The sequence below is a fragment of the Homo sapiens genome, chromosome 4 (assembly GCF_000001405.40).
Source record: "Homo sapiens chromosome 4, GRCh38.p14 Primary Assembly".
Lineage (NCBI taxonomy): Eukaryota > Metazoa > Chordata > Mammalia > Primates > Hominidae > Homo > Homo sapiens.
Genome location: NC_000004.12, coordinates 176,002,394 through 176,024,934, shown reverse-complemented (window position 1 = coordinate 176,024,934; position 22,541 = coordinate 176,002,394). Strand labels below are relative to the sequence as shown.

General features: G+C 38.5%; 1 pseudogene; it reads left to right on the top strand.

Annotated features, from left to right (window-relative positions):
* Positions 10,411–12,907, top strand: MARK2P4 (MARK2 pseudogene 4; annotated as a pseudogene).

Below are 22,541 nucleotides of genomic sequence, written 5' to 3'. Positions count from 1 at the left end.
ATTTTAGCAGTTGGCTGTGACCAGTACAAATAATCAAATCAGTTTTACAATGTTTGTCACACTACAGTCCAGTTTCTTTTCCTTGAAAGATTTCTGTCTCCTATTAGCTCTCTAATTTATTCTTTTGTCAGAATCTAAATTGCCCATGCACCTTTTTGTCCAATTCTATTCACACTTAGCAAGTGTATATGCTTTTCTGAATATTAAGGCACAATTTTTTGGATGACAGTGAACCATAGTGGTAAGAGCACTGAATTAGGAGACAGAGGCCAGGGTGCTTACAAGTAGAGTGGGTTGATAAATAGCACTAAGGCTGCTGGTTTTCTCCTTCTCCTTTTAGCAGGTGACAGGTTCTGTGTTTCCTCATCTTGTGGAGTTTTCTCTCAGAGGGTAAAACAGTATATCAGTTGCATTTTGATGTGTAACCACCCCAAAACTTGTTGACTTAAAATAATAGTGACTTACTATTTCTCAGGACTGATTGGCTGGGTAGTTGTTCCTCTCGCCATGTGGGGTTGGCTGGGGTCTGTAATGACTGCGCTCAGTTGATAACTCTACTGAGCTGGGAGGTCCAAGCAGGCCTCTCTCACTTTTGGGGCCTTAATTCTGAGTCACTTCATTCTCTACATGGTGTGTAATTCCACATAGCTCCTCTATCAGGATGTCCTGAATATTTTACCTAGAGGCTCAAGGATTTAAGAGAGCTCTGAAGTTTGAGGATTAGCCCTTAATAAGCCCGAAAGCTCCCACTTGGGCTACCTGTGCTGCATTCTATTAGGCAAAGCAAGTCACAAAGCCAGCCTTATTCAAAGGGAGGGGAAATGGACTCCACCTCTTGATGGGATGAGTAGCATGTGCACCCAGGGAAGAGAGGAACTGTTGGCACCTAATTATTGAAACTATCTGTAAGAAAATACATTATTTTTGTATGCAATCTAGATTAATTTCTCCCATTTTCAGTAATCATATTCATTTTTCCTCAGGACACTATTCCCCTCTCAGCCCATATGCTTTGGGTAACTCCCATCCCCAGCTCCAGTGTAAAGTATGGGACCTGGATTTAACTCACTCAGTGCATCATATTACCTTGGTCATTGAACTCAGGGGTGAAAATGTGATCCAATCGAAGTCAAATAAGTGCCAATAAAGTTCATTTTTATGGTTGTTCTAGAAAGGAGACTCATTCTCTTCCTTAATGGACTTGAAGCTAAGATGGCAGTGTAACCGGAGATAATGATTGGAGAATCGCTCAGAGAATAAATTTAATAAGAAGAATGAAGCCAAAACCCATAGAGGAAAACCCAACCCTGATGACCTAATTTGAGCCCTGAAACCCAGCTTGCTGGGAGCCAAAACTATACCTTGACATTCTCAGTGCTGTCACCAATTCATTTTTGTTTATGCATAAGGCCGTATGAGTTGGGGGTATGTTCACCTGCTACCAGAAAAATTCCAACTAACCAAATTAGAAAGCTAAAATTGTCTTCAGTTCAGTTTCTTTTTTGGCTTTTGTGACCTGAAGTCTAAGTGCCTTAAAGAGAAGGGAATGAGGAGAAAGAATTCTTCTATGAGAAACGTGAAAAGGGAAATAACAATTTATTCAATATTAAACATAATATATTCTGAGGCTTCCAATTGGGAGGGAATGGAGAAAAGATCAGCTGGAATTTGACATTGCTCTAGGGCAGTGCTCTGAGGAGGTGGCCAGGCCTCAGAAGAGCTGATAGAGTGATGCATTATGACAGGTGGGACTCTAAGCTTCAGTATACCCATCTTCTCCAAAGAGGTGAGAGCCAAGCATGATAGGAAAGCTGCAGAGCTGGCTGGTTAGGAGGACTATGGAAAAGGCGATATGGAAGCCTGAAAGCATGACTTAAAAAAATTAGACTGTTAAGACTCCATAGACTTTGCAATTGCTCCACAGAGAAAGCCCATAGAACCCTGAGGTTGAGTGCCTTGCCATCTCAGGGGAATTTAGATTTAAGTTGATAGTTAAGATAATTTTTAGAAAATAAAACAACGGGTTTTTTTGCACATCTGAATTTTTGGACCGAGATTTATATTCACTAAGCACTAATGAAATATATGAGTTAAGGAAAACTATTTAAGATCTCCAGGAGGGAGTGTTCTCCTATACACAAGCTGGAGGATGAGGGATCATGAATTAAAAAAATCTTTTATGTCTCTGATACCTGAAGTATTGTATGAATGTATTAAATTTTAATTCAAGCTGGGCACAATGGCTTATGCCTGTAATCCCAGCACTTTGGGAGGTTGAGGCAGGAGGATTGCTTGAACCCAGGCATTCAAGACCAGCTTGAGCAACAAAGTGACACCTTGTCTCTACAAAGAACAAACAAACACAATAGCCAGGAGTGGTGGTGTGCACCTGTGGTCCCAGCTACATGGGAGGCTGAGGCAGAAGGATTATTTGAGACCAAGAGGTCAAGGCTGCAGTGAGCCACGTTTGTGCCACTGCACTCCAGCCTGGGCAACAGAAAAAGATCCTGTCTCAAAAAACCAACTTAAGTCAAGTGTTGAGCCCAAGCATTGTGCTACATACTGGGAAGACAGTGATGAGCAGGAAAAGCCTGGTTCCTGCCCGCCCAGAGCCTATAATTTAGTAAAGACACAGATAATTACAGATGGACTTACAGTGCAATCTATGATGGGAGGAACACAGGGCTTTCTTGGAGCATGTGAAAGATGTGCCTGACCAAGTCTCTAGGTCATGGATAGTCAGCAAATCCAAGTTGGAAAATGAAGATAGTAGTTGTTTATAGATCAAAGTAGGGGAGAAGAGGGGAGGTCATTTCATGGGGGAAATAATTATTTGAAGCCAGAAGAACAGCATATTTAAATGTGTGAAGAGAATGTGTGGCAAATTATAGGAACTATAATGATATCTAAATGATTATGTGCAGGTTGAACAAAAGGCTCAATACAGGGAGTGGCAACCGAATGAGGTGAGGCTGGAGGATTAAGCAGAAGGCAACAATAGCTTGAAGGGCTTTATGGGCCATTTAAAATGTTTGGGTATTACTTTAATGTTTAGGTGGAAGATTTTAAATCAGGAAATTACATAACCAGACTTCCAGTTTTAGGAAGACAAATTTGGCTAAAGAGTAGATGATAAAATGATGAGGTGCAGGGATGCTATTAAGAAGTTATTACATATTGTCAATCAGATGGTTTCCAACAGCCCTCTCCTGCTCTGAAACACTGCCAATCTCCACCATGCTCCTGAGAGGATATTTTCCAAGCTCTCACTTCCTGCTGTGGTCCAGATGTTCCTCTTTCAGTCCAAAGAATCAAGAATTACAAGAGCCCTTTAGTGATCTTGGACTAACTCATTTCTTACTATTAAGCTTCCACCATTGTATTTGGACCACATGTTCAGAATTCTGTTAAGAATGCCATCATTGTTTTCTTTTTTTTTTTTTTTTTTTTGAGACAGAGCCTCGCTCTGTCGCCCAGGCTGGAGTGCAGTGGCACGATCTCAGCTCACCGCAAGCTCCGCTTCCTGGGTTCAGGCCATTCTCCTGCCTCAGCCTCCTGAGTAGCTGGGACTACAGGCGCCTGCAACCACGCCCGGCTAATTTTTTTGTATTTTTAGTAGAGACGGGGTTTCACCATGTTAGCCAGGATGGTCTCGATCTCCTGACCTCGTGATCCGCTCGCCTTGGCCTCCCAAAGTGCTGGGATTACAGGCGTGAGCCATCGCGCCCGGCCCATTGTTTTCCTTCACTGAGCAGATCTATAGAGTTACTTCGGGATTTCAGACTCACTCTGCTGCTTGTTAACTTCTCCTAATCTGCCTCTATTTATATAAGTTAACATTGTAATTAGAAATTAATAGCAATGATACACTCATCTCAGGGTTGTTGGGAAGATTATATTATTTTATGTTTATGCAACAGGCCTGGCTCATAGTAGGCATTACAATAAAACATGTTTATTACTTACAGCTGATCTGAGCTTTCCTGTGATTCTTTCCTCATAAGACTTGAGTGTTCTGATGTCAAATGTATTTCCTTCCCCCAGTTGCCTAAAGCAAATATATAAATGGAATCAAAATAACTTCAAACCGTATTTAGGTTTATCAACACAAAATACAGAACCAGAACTCAAATGTTGCAGTAAAAATAGAATATACAGTGCCTTCAAAGATGCAAATGCATGAAGCAACTTGAAAGTGCTTATCTTCGTTAAATAAATATATGAGGTATGACTGATACGGCTTAAATGGGGCGTGGAAGCCTGGCTCCATGGCCACACACACAAAATGAACCTCGTTAATTTATAGTTCACAGCAGGGATATTAGTAGTTGATATAGATAAGGGATGTCTGGTTCTTCTACATTAAATGTAGATCTCATTTGAATTGTATTTTAGCTATGGTGTTCCTGGTGTCTTGGAAATAATTTATTATAGTGTAAACATGTTTGGATTCAGGAAACTCTTCAAAAATTTTGTCTGGGTTTAGCAAATCATTTTTATGCTCACAATATCTAAAATAAAGTGAACAACATTTAAAACTGCTCTATTGGTGGAAAAAATTATCTCATTTGCTTCTGATAATTAAACCACATTTCACAATTGATTTAAAATGAAGTGTCTTAACTTTCCCCCATATCCTTTGGGGCATACAGAATGGCATATTGTTAAATGAGCCTATTTTATATGCAGAACCTACAGTTCTTCTCTAACAAATCATTCTAAATTCTGCCTTTCACACTTTTACTTTTATTATGTGGAGAGCCTCTGTGATTTCTTAAACACTTTTATGTGACTTTGAAAAATAGTGTTGGTTGTGCTTATTTATATTAGGCATAATTGAAAATTTACAATGCACTATGTAGCCTAACACTTTTGATTAAAATTACAGATCATGGGCCGGGAGTGGTGGCTCACGCCTGTAATCCGAGCACTTTGGGAGGCCAAGGCAGGCAGATCACCTGAGGTCGGGAGTTCGAGACCAGCCTGACCAACATGGAGAAACCCTGTCTCTACCAAAAATACAAAATTAGCCAGGCGTGATGGCACGTGCCTGTAATCCCAGCTACTCGGGAGGCTGACGCAGGAGAATCACTTGAACTTGGGAGGTGGAGGTTGCGGTGAGCCAAGATCCCGCCATTGCACTCCAGCCTGGGCAACAAGAGCAAAACTCCGTCTCAAAAAAAAAAAAAAAAAATTACAGATTATGGTCTTATTTCCAAGTCTTTCTTGAGGTCAACAGCAAACATGCAAAAAAGAACACGTTGGAGAAGACAATGAACATATTTGAATCTCAGTGTTTCCATCTGTATGTAGAAATAACATGAACACCTTATTTATTGTTTTGTTGTAAGGTTTTCAGGTAATAGCAATGTAAAGAGGCTAAGAAAGTGTATTCAATAATACTTATTGAATAAACATTAGCAGCAGCTAATACTGGAAGTAATGCATGTAACACAAAATATCAGCTTTAGAATTCTTAAAAGTGAGGGAAGGAAATCCAGGAAGTAGATGAAGAGATCTGGCATAGTGACTGTCAACCATGGTCATATCAGGAAGCTTTCAAAAAATATTCATCACCAGGAATTCTAACACATTTAAGTTGGGGTGGTGTCCAGGTATAATTTTTAAAATTCTAAGGTGAGACATGGTGGCTCACACCTGTAATCCCAACATTTTGGGAGGCCAAAGAAGGAGGATTGCTTGATCTCAGGAGTTTGAGACCAGCTTGGGCAACATAGTGAGACCTTGTCCCTACTAAAAAGTTCCAAAAAAAAATTAGCTGGGTGTGGTGGCATGTGCCTGTAATCCCAGATATCAGGGGGCTGAGGCGGGGGATCACTTGAGCCCAGCAGGTTGAGGCTGCAGTGAGCTATGATCCTGCCAGCCTGGGCAATAGAGCAAAACCCTGTCTCAAAAAAAAAAAAAAAAAAAATTAAGGTAAGTGTGGCCAGGGTTGAGGACCACAAGTGTAGTTAAAGGTGCCTAAGGGGTACATTGCTGCAGGATGGCTTTACATGAAAGTCCAAGATTAGCAGATATATTTTACAATATTAGACAAAAGTTCAGATTAAAAATTTCCCACCAACGCATTTATCTTTAGCTATAGCATTTATCTTTAGCTATAGCAATTATTTCACGTATTAGTGCATGAAATAGTGGTCTGTAATTTATAGGACTCAATATACAAAAGAATAGTGGTAGCTTGAAAGGAATATCAGAGATGTTAAATTGTTAACCATTTATTTTGAAAACATATAAGAGCATTTTTATTAGCTTTTGCTAATGCTCTTACATCTTTTCCAATTAGAGATGTACGAAGAGTAGAGGATATTAGAAACTTGATTTTAAAAGCAATTGTGGAAACCTCAAAAAGAAATTAATATCATTAATAAAAACCATAAGGATTTCATTTACTTAGAGGTGATTTTATTAATACTGTTTAATGAAGGAGAAGGCTACAAATCCCTCTGTATTAAAAAAAAAAGTTACAAATCCAGTGAAAGCATCAATCTGCTTTTACATCATTTGAAAACGTCTTCATGGATGCAGATGTTGGAAAACTCTTTTCCCAGTTGGCAGTCTGTGTTCTTTTATACATATATATATGTATAATATATATATATGTATAATATATATATGTATAAGTATAATATATATATATTATATGAAGTATTATATATTATACTTTAAGTTTTAGGGTACATGTGCACAATGTGCAGGTTTGTTACATATGTATACATGTGCCATGTTGGTGTGCTGCACCCATTAACTTGTCATTTACATTAGGTATATCTCCTAATGCTATCCCTCCGCCATCCTTCCACCCCACAACAGGCCCCGGTGTGTGATGTTCTCCTTCCTGTGTCCAAATGTTCTCATTGTTCAATTCCCAATGCTCACTATCACTGGCCATCAGAGAAATGCAAATCAAAACCACAATGAGATACCATCTCACACCAGTTAGAATGGCAATCATTAAAAAGTTAGGAAACAACAGGTGCTGGAGAGGATGTGGAGAAATAGGAACACTTTTACACTGTTGGTGGGACTGTAAACTAGTTCAACCATTGTGGAAGACAGTGTGGCAATTCCTCAGGGATCTAGAACTAGAAATACCATTTGACCCAGCCATCCCATTACTGGGTATATACCCAAAGGATTATAAACCATGCTGCTACAAAGACACATGCACACATATGTTTATTGCAGCACTATTCACAATAGCAAAGACTTGGAACCAAACCCAAATGTCCATCAATGATAGAATGGATTAAGAAAATGTGGCACATATACACCATGGAATACTATGCAACCATAAAAAAGGATGAGTTCATGTCCTTTGTAGGGACATGGATGAAGCTGGAAACCATCATTCTCAGCAAACTATCGCAAGGGCTGTCTGTGTTCTATAATCAATGTATTTGAAGAGGTGCTAATGTTCTTGAGAAAGAAGAAAAGGATTTCCTACTACTTCTTTTTCATCATTGAACACATATCTGAGCTTTGTCTTTAAACCAAGTAATTCAATACAAAACTACTGGTGGTTATCTGAAAGCCCTAAAGCTTAGCACGTGTATATTTTAGTGATGTTTATGATCATATAATATCTTGCCAATGTGCAAAAAGTGTAAAACTGGAAAATTCTTGTCTCATGCATACACCTCTACAGATTCATGCCAATTCACCTACTATTAAGGAGACCAGTGAGTACTCATTCTTACCATCACAGAAACTTAAGTGACAATTGTTTCTAGTGAAACAATACTTACATATGCAGCTTCTATGTGGTCTACTTTAAATGTATAATCCTGTTTAATATTTAATCATTAAGATATGCTAAATAATAATAATTAAAATATGAGTCTTAAGTCACAGACTGGGAGAAAATATTTGCAAAAACTATTTGATAAATGACTGTTAGTCAAAATAAACAAAGAACTTTAAAAACTCAACCATAAGAAAAACAACCTGATTTACAAAAGGCAAAAGATTTGAACAGACACCTAATCAGAGATAATAATAATATATGAAATGAGAATATGAAAAGATGTTCCACATCGTTATGTCATTAGAGAATTGGAAATTAAAACAACAATGAGACAATTCTACACAACTGTGAGATGGCAAAAATCCAAAATACTGATAAGAATGTGGAGACACTGGAGCTTCTCACGCACTGCTAGTTGAAAGACAATTTGGCACTTTCTTATAAAACTAAACATGCTCTTACCATAAAATCCAGCAGTCTCACTCCCTGTTATTTACGTAAATAAGTTGAAAACTTATATGCACACAAAAACCTGCATACGGATGATTATAGCAGCTTTATTCATAATTGTCTAAACTTGGATGCAACCAAGATGTCCTTCAGTAGGTGAATGGATAAACTATGGTGCATTTAAACAATTAAATAGTATTTAGGACTGAAAAGAAATGAGCTATCTAGGCATGAAAAGACATGGAGGAACCATAAATACATATTACTAAGTGTAAGGAGCCAATACTGTATGATTTTAACTATAAGGCTACACAGTGTATGATTAAAACTATATAACATTCTGGAAAAGGCAAAACTATGGAGTTGGTAAAAGGATCTGTGGTTGCCAAGAGTTAGTGGGGAGGGAGGAAGGAATAAGTGGAGCACAGAAGATTTTTAGAGCAATGAAACTATTCTGCATACTATGATGGTGGGTACAAGTCATTTATGCACTTGTCCAAACCCATAGACCATGTAACACCAAGAGTGAACCACAGTGTAAGCCATGGACTTTGGAAGATAATGATGTGTCAATGTAGGTTCATTGATTGTAACTAATGAACTGTTTTTATGGGGAATGTTGATAGTGGAGGAGCCTATGCATGTGTTGGGTAGGGGGATATGGAAACTCTCCATATCTTCCATTCGGTTTTGCTGAGAACCTAAACTACTATTTTAAATAGTCTATAAAGTGCAAGAAAGAAAGAGACAGAGAGAGAGGAGAAAGAGAAGGAAAGAAAGAAGTAAAAGAAAGAAAGAAAGAAAGAAGAAAAAAGAAAAAAGAAAAAGAGAAACTTGCTTTCTCAACTGACAGTTGCAACCTCTACATTTGAAAATACTGACATGAACAAAATGAATCATCTATCTCATGGAAGGGAGGAATTTTCTCCAAAGAAAGGCAAAGCTTTAAATAAGAAATGAGAGTATGATGGAAGCTATCTTCCCCTCAGCTTTAAAAATCCTAATAATGTATACCTAAGTATATCTGATTGTGTCCTATGCAATGGAACATTTTTGTATAGTATCATGATGTCAGCTAAGTTGTGACGTCATTTTGAGACCAACCATTCAGAGTTTTTAAAAAAGAAATTATAAATTTTAGGCTGGGCACAGTGGCTCATGCTTGTAATCCCAACACTGGGAGGCCAAGGTGGGCAGATCACCTGAGGTTAGGAGTTTGAGACCAGCCTGACCAACATGGTGAAACCCCGTCTCTACCAAGAATACAAAATTAGCCGGGCATGTTGGGGCATGCCTGTAATCCCAGGCTACTCAGGAAGCTGAGAGAGGAGAATTGCTTGAACCCAGGAAGCAGAGGTTGCAGTGAGCTGAGATCACACTATTGCCCTCCAGCCTGGGCAACAAGAGCAAAACTCCGTCTCAAAAAAAAAAAAAAGAAAGAAAGAAAGAAAGAAAGAAAGAAATTATATATTTTAAATGTAGATACTATGAGCTCTTTAAAAGCCAAAGTTTATTGTAAGTTCCAAACTAGGAATGAAAAAGTCACTGAAACACTCTGCAGGTTTTAAATTCTAACGAGGTAAATATTGATCAATATAACTCAGATTAAAAGCTTTTTAGGAACACCTCAACCCCCCTCTTAAGAGAAATGTGTTCCAAAACCAAAATGTAAGAAAACCACTCTGGATTATCCTTACCAGTGATAGTTCATTTCTTGCTATAACCTGCATAAGGAGCTATTTTTATGAAATTCTAAGAACCTACAACTTCTGGGTCTAAACTTTGGTGCTTCCAGCTCAGGAAGCTGGTTTTCCATGACCTGAGAGACTTTGACCAAAGTTAACTTTTTATCTCTTTGGCTTTTTTTCTCTTTTGCTTGTTTTAAATTTTTCTTCTATACTGTTTTTTTCTGTTCCTCATTTTTTATTATTTTCTTACTTTCTTTTTTCTCACTGCCCTTTTTCATTTTTATTTTTCTCATTTTTATTATTCAGTCTTTTTCTCATTTTTCTTTTCTTAATTTCTCTCATTTTTTTGTTTAGTTATTGTTAATTTCTGGTACTTTTTATTTTTGTTTGGTGTTGTGTTTTGATTCCTCTCAATGACCAGTTCATTGGGTAGACTCTGGGCCTGAGTTTCTGTTGATGCGATTTGGACCAAGCTTCTCACCAGCTTTTCCCAATTGTAAGCTGACTTTGTGACAACTTGCCTATAAGCCCAACATGCTGCAGTGCCTCTCAGCCATCTCTATTCAGGAAGAGACCCATAATGGCAACGACTGGCTCCTTAGTCGACTGGCTCCATCAGTGGGGGTAACTTCACCAAGGTGAAATTGGTGTGGCACATTTTCACTGGGAAAGAGGTGGCTGCAAAGACCATCAGTAAGACTCAGCAGAACTCCCCCAGCCTCCTGTGACTGTTCCAGAAAAACCAAATCAAGAAGGCCTTGAATCAACCCACCATAGTGAAATTATCTGAAGTGATTGACATTAAGAAAATCCTCTACAGTATTGTGGAGTATGTTGGTGGAGGAGGGGGTGTTCCATTACCTGGTGGCTGATGGCAGCATGAAAGAGAAAAAAGCACAAGGCGAATTTTGCCATGAAGTGCCTATTGTGCAGTGTTACCACCAGAGGTGTATGGTCCTTAGAGACCTGTGGGCAGAACATCTGCACAGCTGACATTGTAGGCTAGCTTCACAACAAATTCACCTTTGGCAACAAGCTAGCTGCCCTCTGTGGCAGCCCTCTTTATATTGCCCCACAGCTCTTCCAGGGCCCAAAGTACAACAGCTGCTAGTGAATGAGTAAAGACTGGCAGTTATCCTCTATCGGCTGCTCAGTGTGCCCCTGCTGCCTTGTGATAGACAGAACTTCAAGGAGTTGCCAGAGTAGATATTGAGAAGAATATCTGGTATTTCTTGCTATATGCCCATGGAGTGTGAAAACCTGCTCAAGAAATTTCTTGTCCTCAACTCTCGCAGGAGAGGCACTTTAGAGGAAATCATGAAGCATCCGTGGATGAACATGGACCACGAGGAGGAACTGAAATCTAAACTCTTACATTGACCACTTCCTGCTTTTAAGAATCCCTGACAGACTGAGATAATGCCCATGGCTTATACGTGCGAAGAGATTCAGAGCTTGTTAATGGGTCAGAATTATGCCAAAGCAATGACCATCCATCTGCTCCTGGGCTACGAGAGATCTGAGATGGAGCACTACCCCATTATCCTCAAGCCTCGGCTTCAGCTCATCCCACCAACAGCTGTACTCCTTCCTCACTTGCAAGGTATAGCATGAGATCTCTGCCACCTCAAAGCGGCAGAGTTTCAATGAGCCTGCCATTCCCACCTTTAATTCTCACTCTAAGAATAGCAAAGACATGGAAGCAGCCTAGATGCTCATCAGTGGTGAATAGGTTAAATAAAATGTGCTACATATACACTAGAATACTATGCAGCCGCAAAAAATGAAATCATGTCCTTTACAGCAACATGGATACAGCTGGAGGCCATTATACTAGGCAAATTAATGCAGGAACAGAAGACCAAGTATCACATGTTGTCACTTGTAAGTGAGAGCTAAGCATTGGGTACACATGGACATAAAGATGGGTATAGTAGACAGGTACTAGACGGGAAAGGGCTGAAAAAAAATATATATATTATATATTTATATGTATAATGTTTATATATATAGTAGACATATATTAGAGGCAAAAGGGCTGAAAGCCATCTATTGGGTACTGTGCTCACTACCTGGACAACAGGATCATTCATAGCCCAGACCTCAGCATCACACAATATACCGGTGTAACACGCCTGCACATGTACTCCTGAATCTAAAATAAAAGTTGAATTTATTTAAAAAGTCCCCTTATGACCCCTTCTGTGGGGCACTGAACCACTTGTGATCTGCTGCTACCCAATCCATGAATCACTGAATATTCACATGAACTCATTAAATTTTTTCAAAAATGTAGTCAGAGTGCCACAAGAATTCAGTGGTCCGGGCAGAACCAGGAGTCAGAGTGGAAGGCCAGTGGCTCTGTGAAAGTGCCTGCTGGTCACCTAATCTGCCTAGAGGTGAAGACCACCTCCTTACAGCATAGCCCTCCAGTATGGCCCTGTGGCCTCCCTCTCTACCCACAATGCTGGCAGCATTGGTGGAGCCCAAGTTGAAACTGATTTCCTCCAGGGTCTCTCCTCCAGATGAAAATCCCTTCACTCTGGGCAGTTCGGAAAGGTGCACAACCAGCAAAATATGCTTGAGGATGAGACCCCCAGCCTCTTCTGATAACAGCCAGACCCTGCAGTGGGGCACTGGGAGGTTCCTCACCATTGATCTGCAGATATGTATGTTTCCAGTTGGCCAGAAACATAACAGCATAAAGCTGAAAGCAGTGCATATCAGACATAAAAAGATGGGCAGCAGAGGCAGGAGAGGCAGTGATAAAATCAAGAAAGAATGTCAGGAGTTCAAGCTGTGCTCCCTGGTTTTACCTGGAGAATGAAGACCATGAGCTCCGTGTAGCCCACCGAGATGCCAGAGATCAGCCAGGTGCCTGGTCAAGAGAGCTTTGTGCAGTGAAGAATGGAGGTGTCCAAACTCTTTCTGTGGGGTTCAAATTAAGATGATATTCAGCACCTTTGAGGCCTTCAAAAGCATTATCTCCAGAATAACTGGTAAGCCTGGGGAACTGCCAGTATTCATCAGAGAGACAAGAGGAGAGACCTCTGGCCCTAGTCATAGGCCTGGCACTCTGCCCCACCTGGTGAAACTTTAGAGACTGGACTGCTTCGAGAACATGGTTCTGTAAATATAAAACACACACACACCCACACACACACACACACACACACACACACAATTTAAAACAACATATGCTAATTATTGCATTTAAATGTTAAGGAAAACCACTCTGCTTTATTGCTATAGCTGTCACAAGACACTTACCTACAGCTTTGCAACGGGGAGGCTCAAAACCCTTCAAAATTCTCTTGTGACTCAACTGCAAACCACAAAAGAAAATCACTTTCCTCAAGGGAAACCAAAGCCCAGTGAGGCCATCCTAGGAATAGAACAAAAATTAATGAATTGTAAAGGAGACTGCATTTGGAAGCTGTTGTGTTGGTGTTTCTGGCTGGGAAAATAAGGCCTGAGGGTACTATCTGTACAATATATATTTTGTGAAACAACCACTTCAGTCTTTGTAAAACTGAAACAAATGAGCAAAAACGAATCCAAACCAAAACAAAAAGCAAACACAAAAAAGATCTGAGTCTTGTAGATGGAACCTCCACTCCCTGGAAAATCAGCCTGATCTCCCCATCTTTTTTATCATTGGTTACCCTGCTCAAGGATCCATGGTTTCCTCTTGGTCCTTACTCGTATATAAATTATGAAAATTTATGCTTCATATTTATGGTATACATCGACTGTTTTCATTTATTCCCTTCAGCAATTTTCATAGTTGCAGCTAACATTTTTATAACTGTTTAAAATTTTCAGCCTTTCTAATGCATTATCTTATTTAAATTGGACTTTGACATTTTTTTCTTTCTTTGCAATCCATATAATCACTGTGGTGTACTGTAGTATCCTTATTAATAATTCTTCCAGCACCTGTCTTCAAAGACTTGCCTCAATAGCAGGAACTGTCACTTCTGCTGAACTTTACAAACCTAATCTTTAGTCTTTCCCTGGATCTCTCTGCACTCCAAATTTCTCAGCCTCTGAAATATTAAGGTCTAATACAGCAATAGCTGAACAACAACTTCTGTCTATCCCCATCTTTCAAGCTTTATTTACGCCAAATCTGCTCTTAAACTTCCTTTATCTTTTCAGTACTGTGTCCCCTTCTTCTCTCACAGTCCATAGCTACTGTCCTGGGGTCTTCTTTCTTCCTGTTCTAATTTAGACCCAAGATGAATTAACTCATTTTGTAGTTTTTGCCATCAGCCTTACCTCCTTCTTCTTCCTACCGCTCTACCATTACACTCACAAATGCTCTCAGTTTTCTTTAAATTCAGCTTTCTGTTTTATCCTCTCCTATAGTCAAGTTATAGATTGGTGTCTCTATAAATTTAGATTCAGTCTCTGCTTGGACTTCAATGTTACTTGATGTTTCTTTATTATACCGTGGTCACCTCCCTCTCCTCTTCACTACAGCAGCTGTAACAAACTTCATTAATTTTCTTAAGTGGAGCTGCAGCCCCAATTTGTTCTCTCTCAGCACATCTCCTTCCTAGTACATACCTACGGAATACTGAGGTTATCAGGCCTCCATGAGGTCCTGAGGTTATCAGCCCTCTGCTCCAAAGCTCCATACTGAAATAAAAATCTTTCTTCTTTTTTCTTTACACTCACTTTCTCTACTTCTTTTTCTATCTCAGAGGATTAGGCAATTTTGCCTGTTCTCTCTGGCTTATTCCTCCTCCTGTGTTCCAGATAGTATCTCTTCATTCTACTCTAAGAAGTAGATCTCTAAGATTGAAACCTATATATGCATTAACATATGAAACATACAGTTCTTTTTCTTTCATAAATAAACTTTCTCTGACACTTATTGCCCACTCTGCCTTCCTTCACTGTGAACTGTAAATAGGTTGTCCACACTCTTTTTCTACCACCCGTTTCCTTATTCTTTATCTCTCTGCTCTTCACTTTTCCATAATACTCTTGCTACTGTTTCACCAGTGACTTCATAACCACCAATCCGAAGGGAACTTGCCAGTCCTCGTCTTCTTCGCTCTTTCTGTTTTATCTAGTTGACACTTCTTTCTTGTTGAAACGTTCTCTACAGGACTTTCTCTGGATTCTTTTCCTAGCCTAAGATTATTTTTTGCACTCCTCTGCATGAACTCCTTTTGTCCACAGTTATTAAATGTTTGTGTGTTCCCATTCTCCATTGTCAGTGTTCCTTTCCTCTTATTGAACATTCTCCCTCAGTGAATTAAAAATCATTGGCAATGTAGAAATGATATTTGGCTGGAACATAAAATGCTCATTCAATGACCCATAGTCACTCATGCCTAGATTAAATCCCAGTGCTTTTCAAGGTCATGTGACATGAGAAATCTTTGGTAAATAAAACTGGCTTAAAAACTGTTAGTAAAATACAATTAGAATGTCTTCAGAATTGTAGGTATTACATATAATTCACACATTTTTGCCTGGATCTATTGGACAGACAAATTTATACTGTCTCTTCTACATGTTTTTAAGGCCAAAAAATGGTTTCTTCTGTGATATATTTGATACTTGCTTAATTTGTCTGCGAGCTTATTTCTTTGGTTTTGAGTCTTTAGATTCTAGGGTTTAGACACTTGGTCACAGTGAGGGCTAGGGCACAGCACTTGAACCCCATCCTACCGGACCCAGCTGTGCCTCATGGCCATGCAGGGAGGAGTTGGATTCATTAGACATTGTCTGGAAAGGTCTTTCCTCCTTGAAAGAAGTTGGATTCACCAGGAATTGTCTTGAAAGGTCCTGGGCACTGTGTCTGGTATATAACAATTAAAATTGCTAACTTCTAAGGTTTTTCCCTGAAAATTAGGGTTACTAAGAGTTAACATTGTAATTAGTATATAAAATTAAAACTACCAGATGTGAGAAACATTTCTGTATGAAAAATGTATAAGGAAAGTTCAATGTGTTTTGGGTGGGGAAGGTTATAACAAAGGTGTGAGAATGTGGTTTTGTTAAAGAAAAGGTAAATTAATTTTTGTCTAGTTCAGAGGCCATATAAATGTTATTTAAAATTGAAGGGAAAAAATAATAGATAAAACTAAATGGATATAGAAAGTTGGGGAAAGAAAAAGAATGAAAAAATTTTTGTTATAAAAGTTTTATACAAATCTTATGTGGTCAAAACTGATTGAGATTAAATGGAACTATTTATAGTATTTTATTAAATTAGCTCTAACATTAACAATGCTGATGCAAAGATATATTTTAGTTTTCTCTTTTGAATATGATTTTCGTGTAGTATTGGCAAGAGATAGTATAATGGAAGATTTTTGTTCACCTTTTGAATAAACTGCAAAAAATAAGAAGTAGCAGGGAGAGTTTGACTCATGCTGTCTTTACTAGGTACTTTGATTGGAAAACTGAACCTCCTCTCTATCAAAGAGTGAAGTGTTTTGCTTTTGAAATCTTTTAATTATGAATTTGGCTAAATGAATAACTTATTTACAGTGACCTGTGATCCTATTTTGATCAAATATTTTAACACTTTCTTTTTTTAATATAAAGTGTTTTAAACCTTTGATATTTGACAAACTTCCAATACCAAATTTTAAATTCTAAAATTAAGTCTTTTTGACCTCAAACTGACTTTTGGATATTCCATAAAGAACCCCTGGAAGTCCAAGAGAGACATATGAGGCTTATGTGATGTGTAAAAATCATACAGAAATATTGTCAAATAAGAAATTGTGCTTAACTCTTCTTTGAGTTATAATTGTATAAATGTGTTATTAATGTGTTCCAAAATTGTATGAAATTCCTAAAATTCTGATATATCTTGGTACATGATATCAGTTATGATTATAATTATGTTAAATTGCAGTATGCCACAAAAATAACCAAATTTCCTTGTCAATTGCTTCTTTAACCATGGCTATTCTGTATCTTTTGTCATCCTCAGACAATGATTGTTTTACTTTGAGTCTTCTCAAAAAGTAGTTTACAACTGGCTACAGTACAAAATGTGCTTATTTTTAATTGGTTACAGTCCAAAATGTACTTATTTTTCAAAGAAATTCATGGAAAGGACATTGCCAAATATTCTCAGAAATACAGGTTTCTGACAACTTTGAAGGTCGTACCATTAGACTAGGTAAAAACTTCCAGAAGTCTAATGAAAAAACTAATGAGTTCATGAAGATTGCTAACCCAACATCAAGCAGAACAAACGTTAGTCATGTAAGACTTAACTGATAGAGAACTGAATGATTTTTCTATGATTTTTAAAATTTGAAATATAGCTGATGGTTTTTGTTTTGTTTTCTAGAGTCAAGAAAACTCTTTTTTTCTTTTGAACTATTTATAGCTTACAGTAATTGGTAAAGTATACTTTTGTGAGCAAAGTGGAAACATTTACCATTTTCTCTACCTGGTGTCACTAGAATTTAGAAACTATTTGTGAGTAGTCTTATTTTATGGCAACATAGTAATTTGCATAAATTAAATAAGAATCTGTTTTTTCCCAAAATAATACACAATTGTAGACACTATTTTACCAAGGCTGTGGATGGAATGACATATTTTCAGATATTACTACTTTGAGGAATTGAGGTTGACTTTCTAGAGCTGATTAAAAAAAAAAAAAAAACCCTTGTAAATACTGGCCTGGTAGCTTGTCTATATGGTTCTCTTACAAGGTTCCTGACTTTGCAGCAAGTAGAATGTCACTTTTTGGCAGCTTCAGGAACCTCAAGATATTTTGGAATCCTTGAGAAAAGGGGAATGTACCCAGTTCATACAGGTATTGGGTACAGTCTCATAGCAAATCCATGGTTTGGCTTCCCAGCCTTGGGAGGTTTTTAAAAATCGAATGTGAGATTCCTTATGTAAAAGTTCCAGCAAAGCCAACTTTAAAAAAGGTCATATAGCCAATCACTGTTCTTACTGCACTTTGTGCAAATAATTAGGCCAATTACAATAGGAGTAAAACTTATGTTGCAAATAAATTGGTCTTACTATGTCTTATCTTTGGTAGACCTAGGGGACTACAGAGAGAAACATATGTTTCAGAAGAAAACTATAGTATGCCTGTTATTGGATTTTAGCCTTGTCCATTGTTTTTAAGTTTTTATTATTTGCCTACAATTTGGACTGCATTCTGAATTATTTTCTGGCTACAAGTCTTTAAGGTTTTCAAATTTTTCTCTCATTTTTCTAAATTGAAATCACTAGAAATTAAAAACATGCTTTTTTTTTTAAAGCTCTGCAAACTAAAACTAGATAACATGATATAAACTTTCAGGGAAATCACTAGAGAAACTTACATACAAACAGTCTTCATGCCTATTGATGTCTGGACTCTGCCGAACGTTCATTTGAATACCTGATTCGAACTACAATCCAGAAAAATCTGTCAGATTGCCATCTAAAGATGCTTCAGAGATGCTAGAAAAATTAGTTTATAGACTACTCCAGACATTAATCTTTGTTTTTTTTATGTTTCTACAGAAATGCCTCTTACTAAAGATCTGTTTGTCTGCACTGTATATGGAGGTCAAGCCCATCTGCCATGCCGCCTCCTGGAATGGGACCCTGCTGTTTAACTCAACTGAACTTTTCTCAGGACTAAGAGGCTGATTCGAGAAGATATGAGATAACATATTTAAATTTGTTCTTTTCTGCTTATCCTAACTTGTTTTTCTCCTCCTTTGCCTGCCTCCTAAATAGCAACCTTTAACTCACATCTTTCCAAAGTTATCAACCTTGCCTTTAATAAGTGAAACTTTCTTAAAGAAAAACTTCCAAAGGGGAACAGAAGGAAACTAAAATATTTCCTCTCCAAATATATTTTCTTGACATATTTCAAGAAAACTATTCAGAAAAGCTGGAAATTCAAGAATAGCTGAAAAGCTGCCTTTTGTGGGGGGAGATTCGCATCAGTAGAGAAAACCTGCATTGATGCAGCCAGGCCCTCTCTGAGACCTTCCTTTGTCTGGATATAGGAAAGATTAACTGAGAGTCTGACACCTTTAAAAGTCTGAAAGAAACATTCACCTTGTGTTCTTGGTGTGGGCTGAGCCCTGCAAGGTTTCATCTGCATAGAAAGACCAGCTTTGCAAGCCCGGGCTCCTCTTCTCCCCCTCCCATAAGCTGTCTTGCCACCGTATCCTATTTTGCCATGATAAAAGCCCCAATTCTTTCTGTAACCTCAAGATGGAATATATAAGATTTGCTACCCCACTGGGGGTTGAGGTAATCACTCTATGGTTCTCTGTGCTCATTAATAAATTTGTATGCCATTTCTCCTATTTATCCATCTTTGCTCAGTTGATTTTCAGTGAACTTTCAGAGAGTAAAGGGGAAGTCTTCCCTTGGCTTCAACAAGGTTATGTCATGAAAAATTTCTAGCCAGGCACGGTGGCTTATGCCAGCACTTTGGGAGGCAGAGGTGGGTGGATCACCAGAGGTCAGGAGTTTGAGACCAGCCTTGCTAACATGGTGAAACCCCGTCTCTACTAAAAAATGCCTGTAATCCCAGCTACTCAGGAGGCTGAGGCAGGAGAATCGCTTGAACCTGGGAGGCAGAGGTTGCAGTCAGCCAAGATCATGCCATTGCACTCCAGCCAGGGCAACAAAAGCGAGACTCCATCTCAAAAAAAAAAAAAAGAAAAGAAAAGAAAAATTTATATTCATCTCAGAATTTTACAAGTTTAGCTAAAGCCTTAATTTTGAGTCCCATGGTTGGTAAGTATCTCCGTTTTTAAAAAGAAGTGTTAGTTATATTTCCACAGGACTTGCTAAAAGGTGGTCTAGGCAATGAAACTGAAGATGCGGGATGAATGGGAAGAATATTTTGGAAACAGAACCTTAGGACTTGATGGACAATTAGGTGACAGGAATGAGAAAGCAGAAATACCGGATAATTAGAGTAAAAAAATAATGTACTAAGTAAGATAATGAATTAATTTATATGTTTATTGAATCCCATATAAAATTATGTAACTTGTTAGATTTCAGGGGAGATAATGGCCTCTCTATACCTGAGATCTAGGATACTGACACCATTTACATCATCACTGTAAGATAAATGAATTCAACATCAACATTTTGATCTATTCACTTATAATAAGGCAAAGGAAAGAAAACATCATGATTTTGATTATTAAAAGCCAGTATATGATGATTTGTATCTTTAGTGTATTCTAAATTTCATATATTTTACTGGGAATGTTAAAAATATTTATGAATTAGGCCAGGCATGGTGGCTCACGCCTGTAATCCCAGCACTTTGGGAGGCCGAGGTGGGTGGGTCATGAGGTCAGGAGATCGAGACCATCCTGGCTAACACAGTGAAACCCCATCTCTACTAAAAATACAAAAAAAAAAAAAATTAGCCGGGCGTGGTGGTGGGCACCTGTAGTCCCAGCTACTCGGGAGGCTGAGGCAGGAGAATGGCATGAACCCGGGAGGTGGAGCTTGCAGTGAGCCGAGATGGCGCCATTGCACTCTAGCCTGGGTGACTGAGCCAGACTCTGTCTCAAAAAAAAAAAAAAAAAATTATGAATTATATTTATTGTTGGAAGATATCACCATCTTTCTCAAGCATGTGGCAAACCAGTTGGATACTGAGAAACAATGTGGTTAACTGACTAAGATCATGAACTCTGGAGTATTTTGTCCTGGGTATGAATTTTGCATTCCCATTTATTATGAGAATTTGGGCAAGTGTTTAATCTCTTTGTGGATTAATTCCCTCATCTGTAAAGTGGGGATAACAGTATTTTCCTTTTTTAGTGAGAATTATATTAGCTAATATGAAGCCCTTAGTACAATGCCTGACACTTAGCACACTGTACTCAGTTTATGTTATAATTATTATTTTGTATTTCAGGATTATCATAGAATCCGATGGGAAAAAAACAAAAAACAGTTCTAATTTTTAGAATTCAAATATTATTTTGAATAAGTCTTCAGGAGATAGATTGTAAGTTGCTTGTGGTGATCCTAAAACTGAGCTTATGAATCAATCTCCAAAATCTATCACTTATCTTTTTTTTTTTTTTTGAGACACGGTCTCACTCTGTTGTCCAGGCTGAAGTGCAGTGGTGCAGTCTTGGCTCACTGCAGCCTTAACCTCCCAGGATAAAGTGATCCTTCCACCTCAGCCTCCCAAGTAGCTGGGACTACAGGCGTGCACCACCACACCAAGCTAATTTTTTGTTTATTTTTTTGGAGAGACGAGGTCTCACTATGTTGCCCAGGCTGATCTCAAACTCCTGAGCTTCAGGGATATACCTGCCTCAGGCTCTGTAAGTGCCAGAAGTACAAGTGTGAGCCAGCAACTTATATTTATTGAACAAATGTATTAGTGTTATGCTTTGCTACAGTCACAGTTCATGTTAGTCAATTTCTAGAAGGGTGATGCATTTCTGAATGATATGTTGAACACTTTTAATTTTTGTTGACTACTTCCTTTCCCCTCCCATAAGAATAACTGTATTCCCATGTAACTGAAGTGCATTTACACACCCCTGCCAGGAGTATACCTCTTCCATTACGTGAGAAAGAGCTGTGCAGATGTTTATGTGGCATTTGAATGATATGCTCTGCATTTATCCATGCATTCTGCTAAAAATATTGTTATTTATTTTTCATATCACCTTTTCCCCATTAGATAGCAATGTTCCTCAAGGTAAGTAATCATATCCATTTTATTTTATTCTTCCACTTGCTCACAGCATAGATATGTATACTTTTGGGTGTGCTTTGCATGAAAAAGCTGTGTACACCTTGGGGACTGACTTACTGAAATAACTTCTCCAGTATGACTCTTGAAAGAACTAGGTCAATAACCCATAGAGTTATATAATTTTTTTTTTTTTTTTAGCTTGAGGAGACCTTAGAGATCACTTTTTCCAGATCCTTCATTTTACAAATTAGGAAATGAGCCAGGATTACAACTCATCCTCTCAACTGTCAAGCCCTGTGCTCTTTCAGCCTCATCAACTGCCTCTTGGATTGAATTGTTTATTTTCCAGGTGATTTCTGCATATTATGATGTGTGTGTGTGTGTATGTCAGGGTGTGTGCATGTGTGTTTGAGTGTATGGTTTTTAGAACTTTATAACCTTGTCCAATTACAGAAACATATTTTATGTAGAAGAAAGAGGAGATGACAAAGGATAAATTAAAGGGAGAATTTTCTCTTCCTCTTGTCTTTATTAATGTTATTATCATTAAGAAACAAAATGGTACACAGAAGACAAGGGAACATAAAATTATCATATGAAACCTGTCTTTTGGAATAATCTATTTCCAGACTCCACTTAGAGATCATTATCTTGGCTACCGAGTCGGTTGTGGGGTGCTGAGACAACGTGTGTGTCTGTAATGTGCATTCAATGTATTTAGGAGAGAGACTTTGCACGTGTCTCTAATGAAAGTGAAAGGGGGCAGGGTGGGGGCCTCTGGGGAGGAGACCCACAGTGAAGGGGAGGAAAACGGGCTTCTCGCAGAGGAGGCAGGTGGAAAGAGGGAGGGGTCTGTGCGCCCGCAGAGTCGCCAGGCGCCCTGCGAGTTGTCTCCGCTGGGAGGGGCGAGGCTGTCACTTGCCAGGGCGCGAGGAGCCTCAGC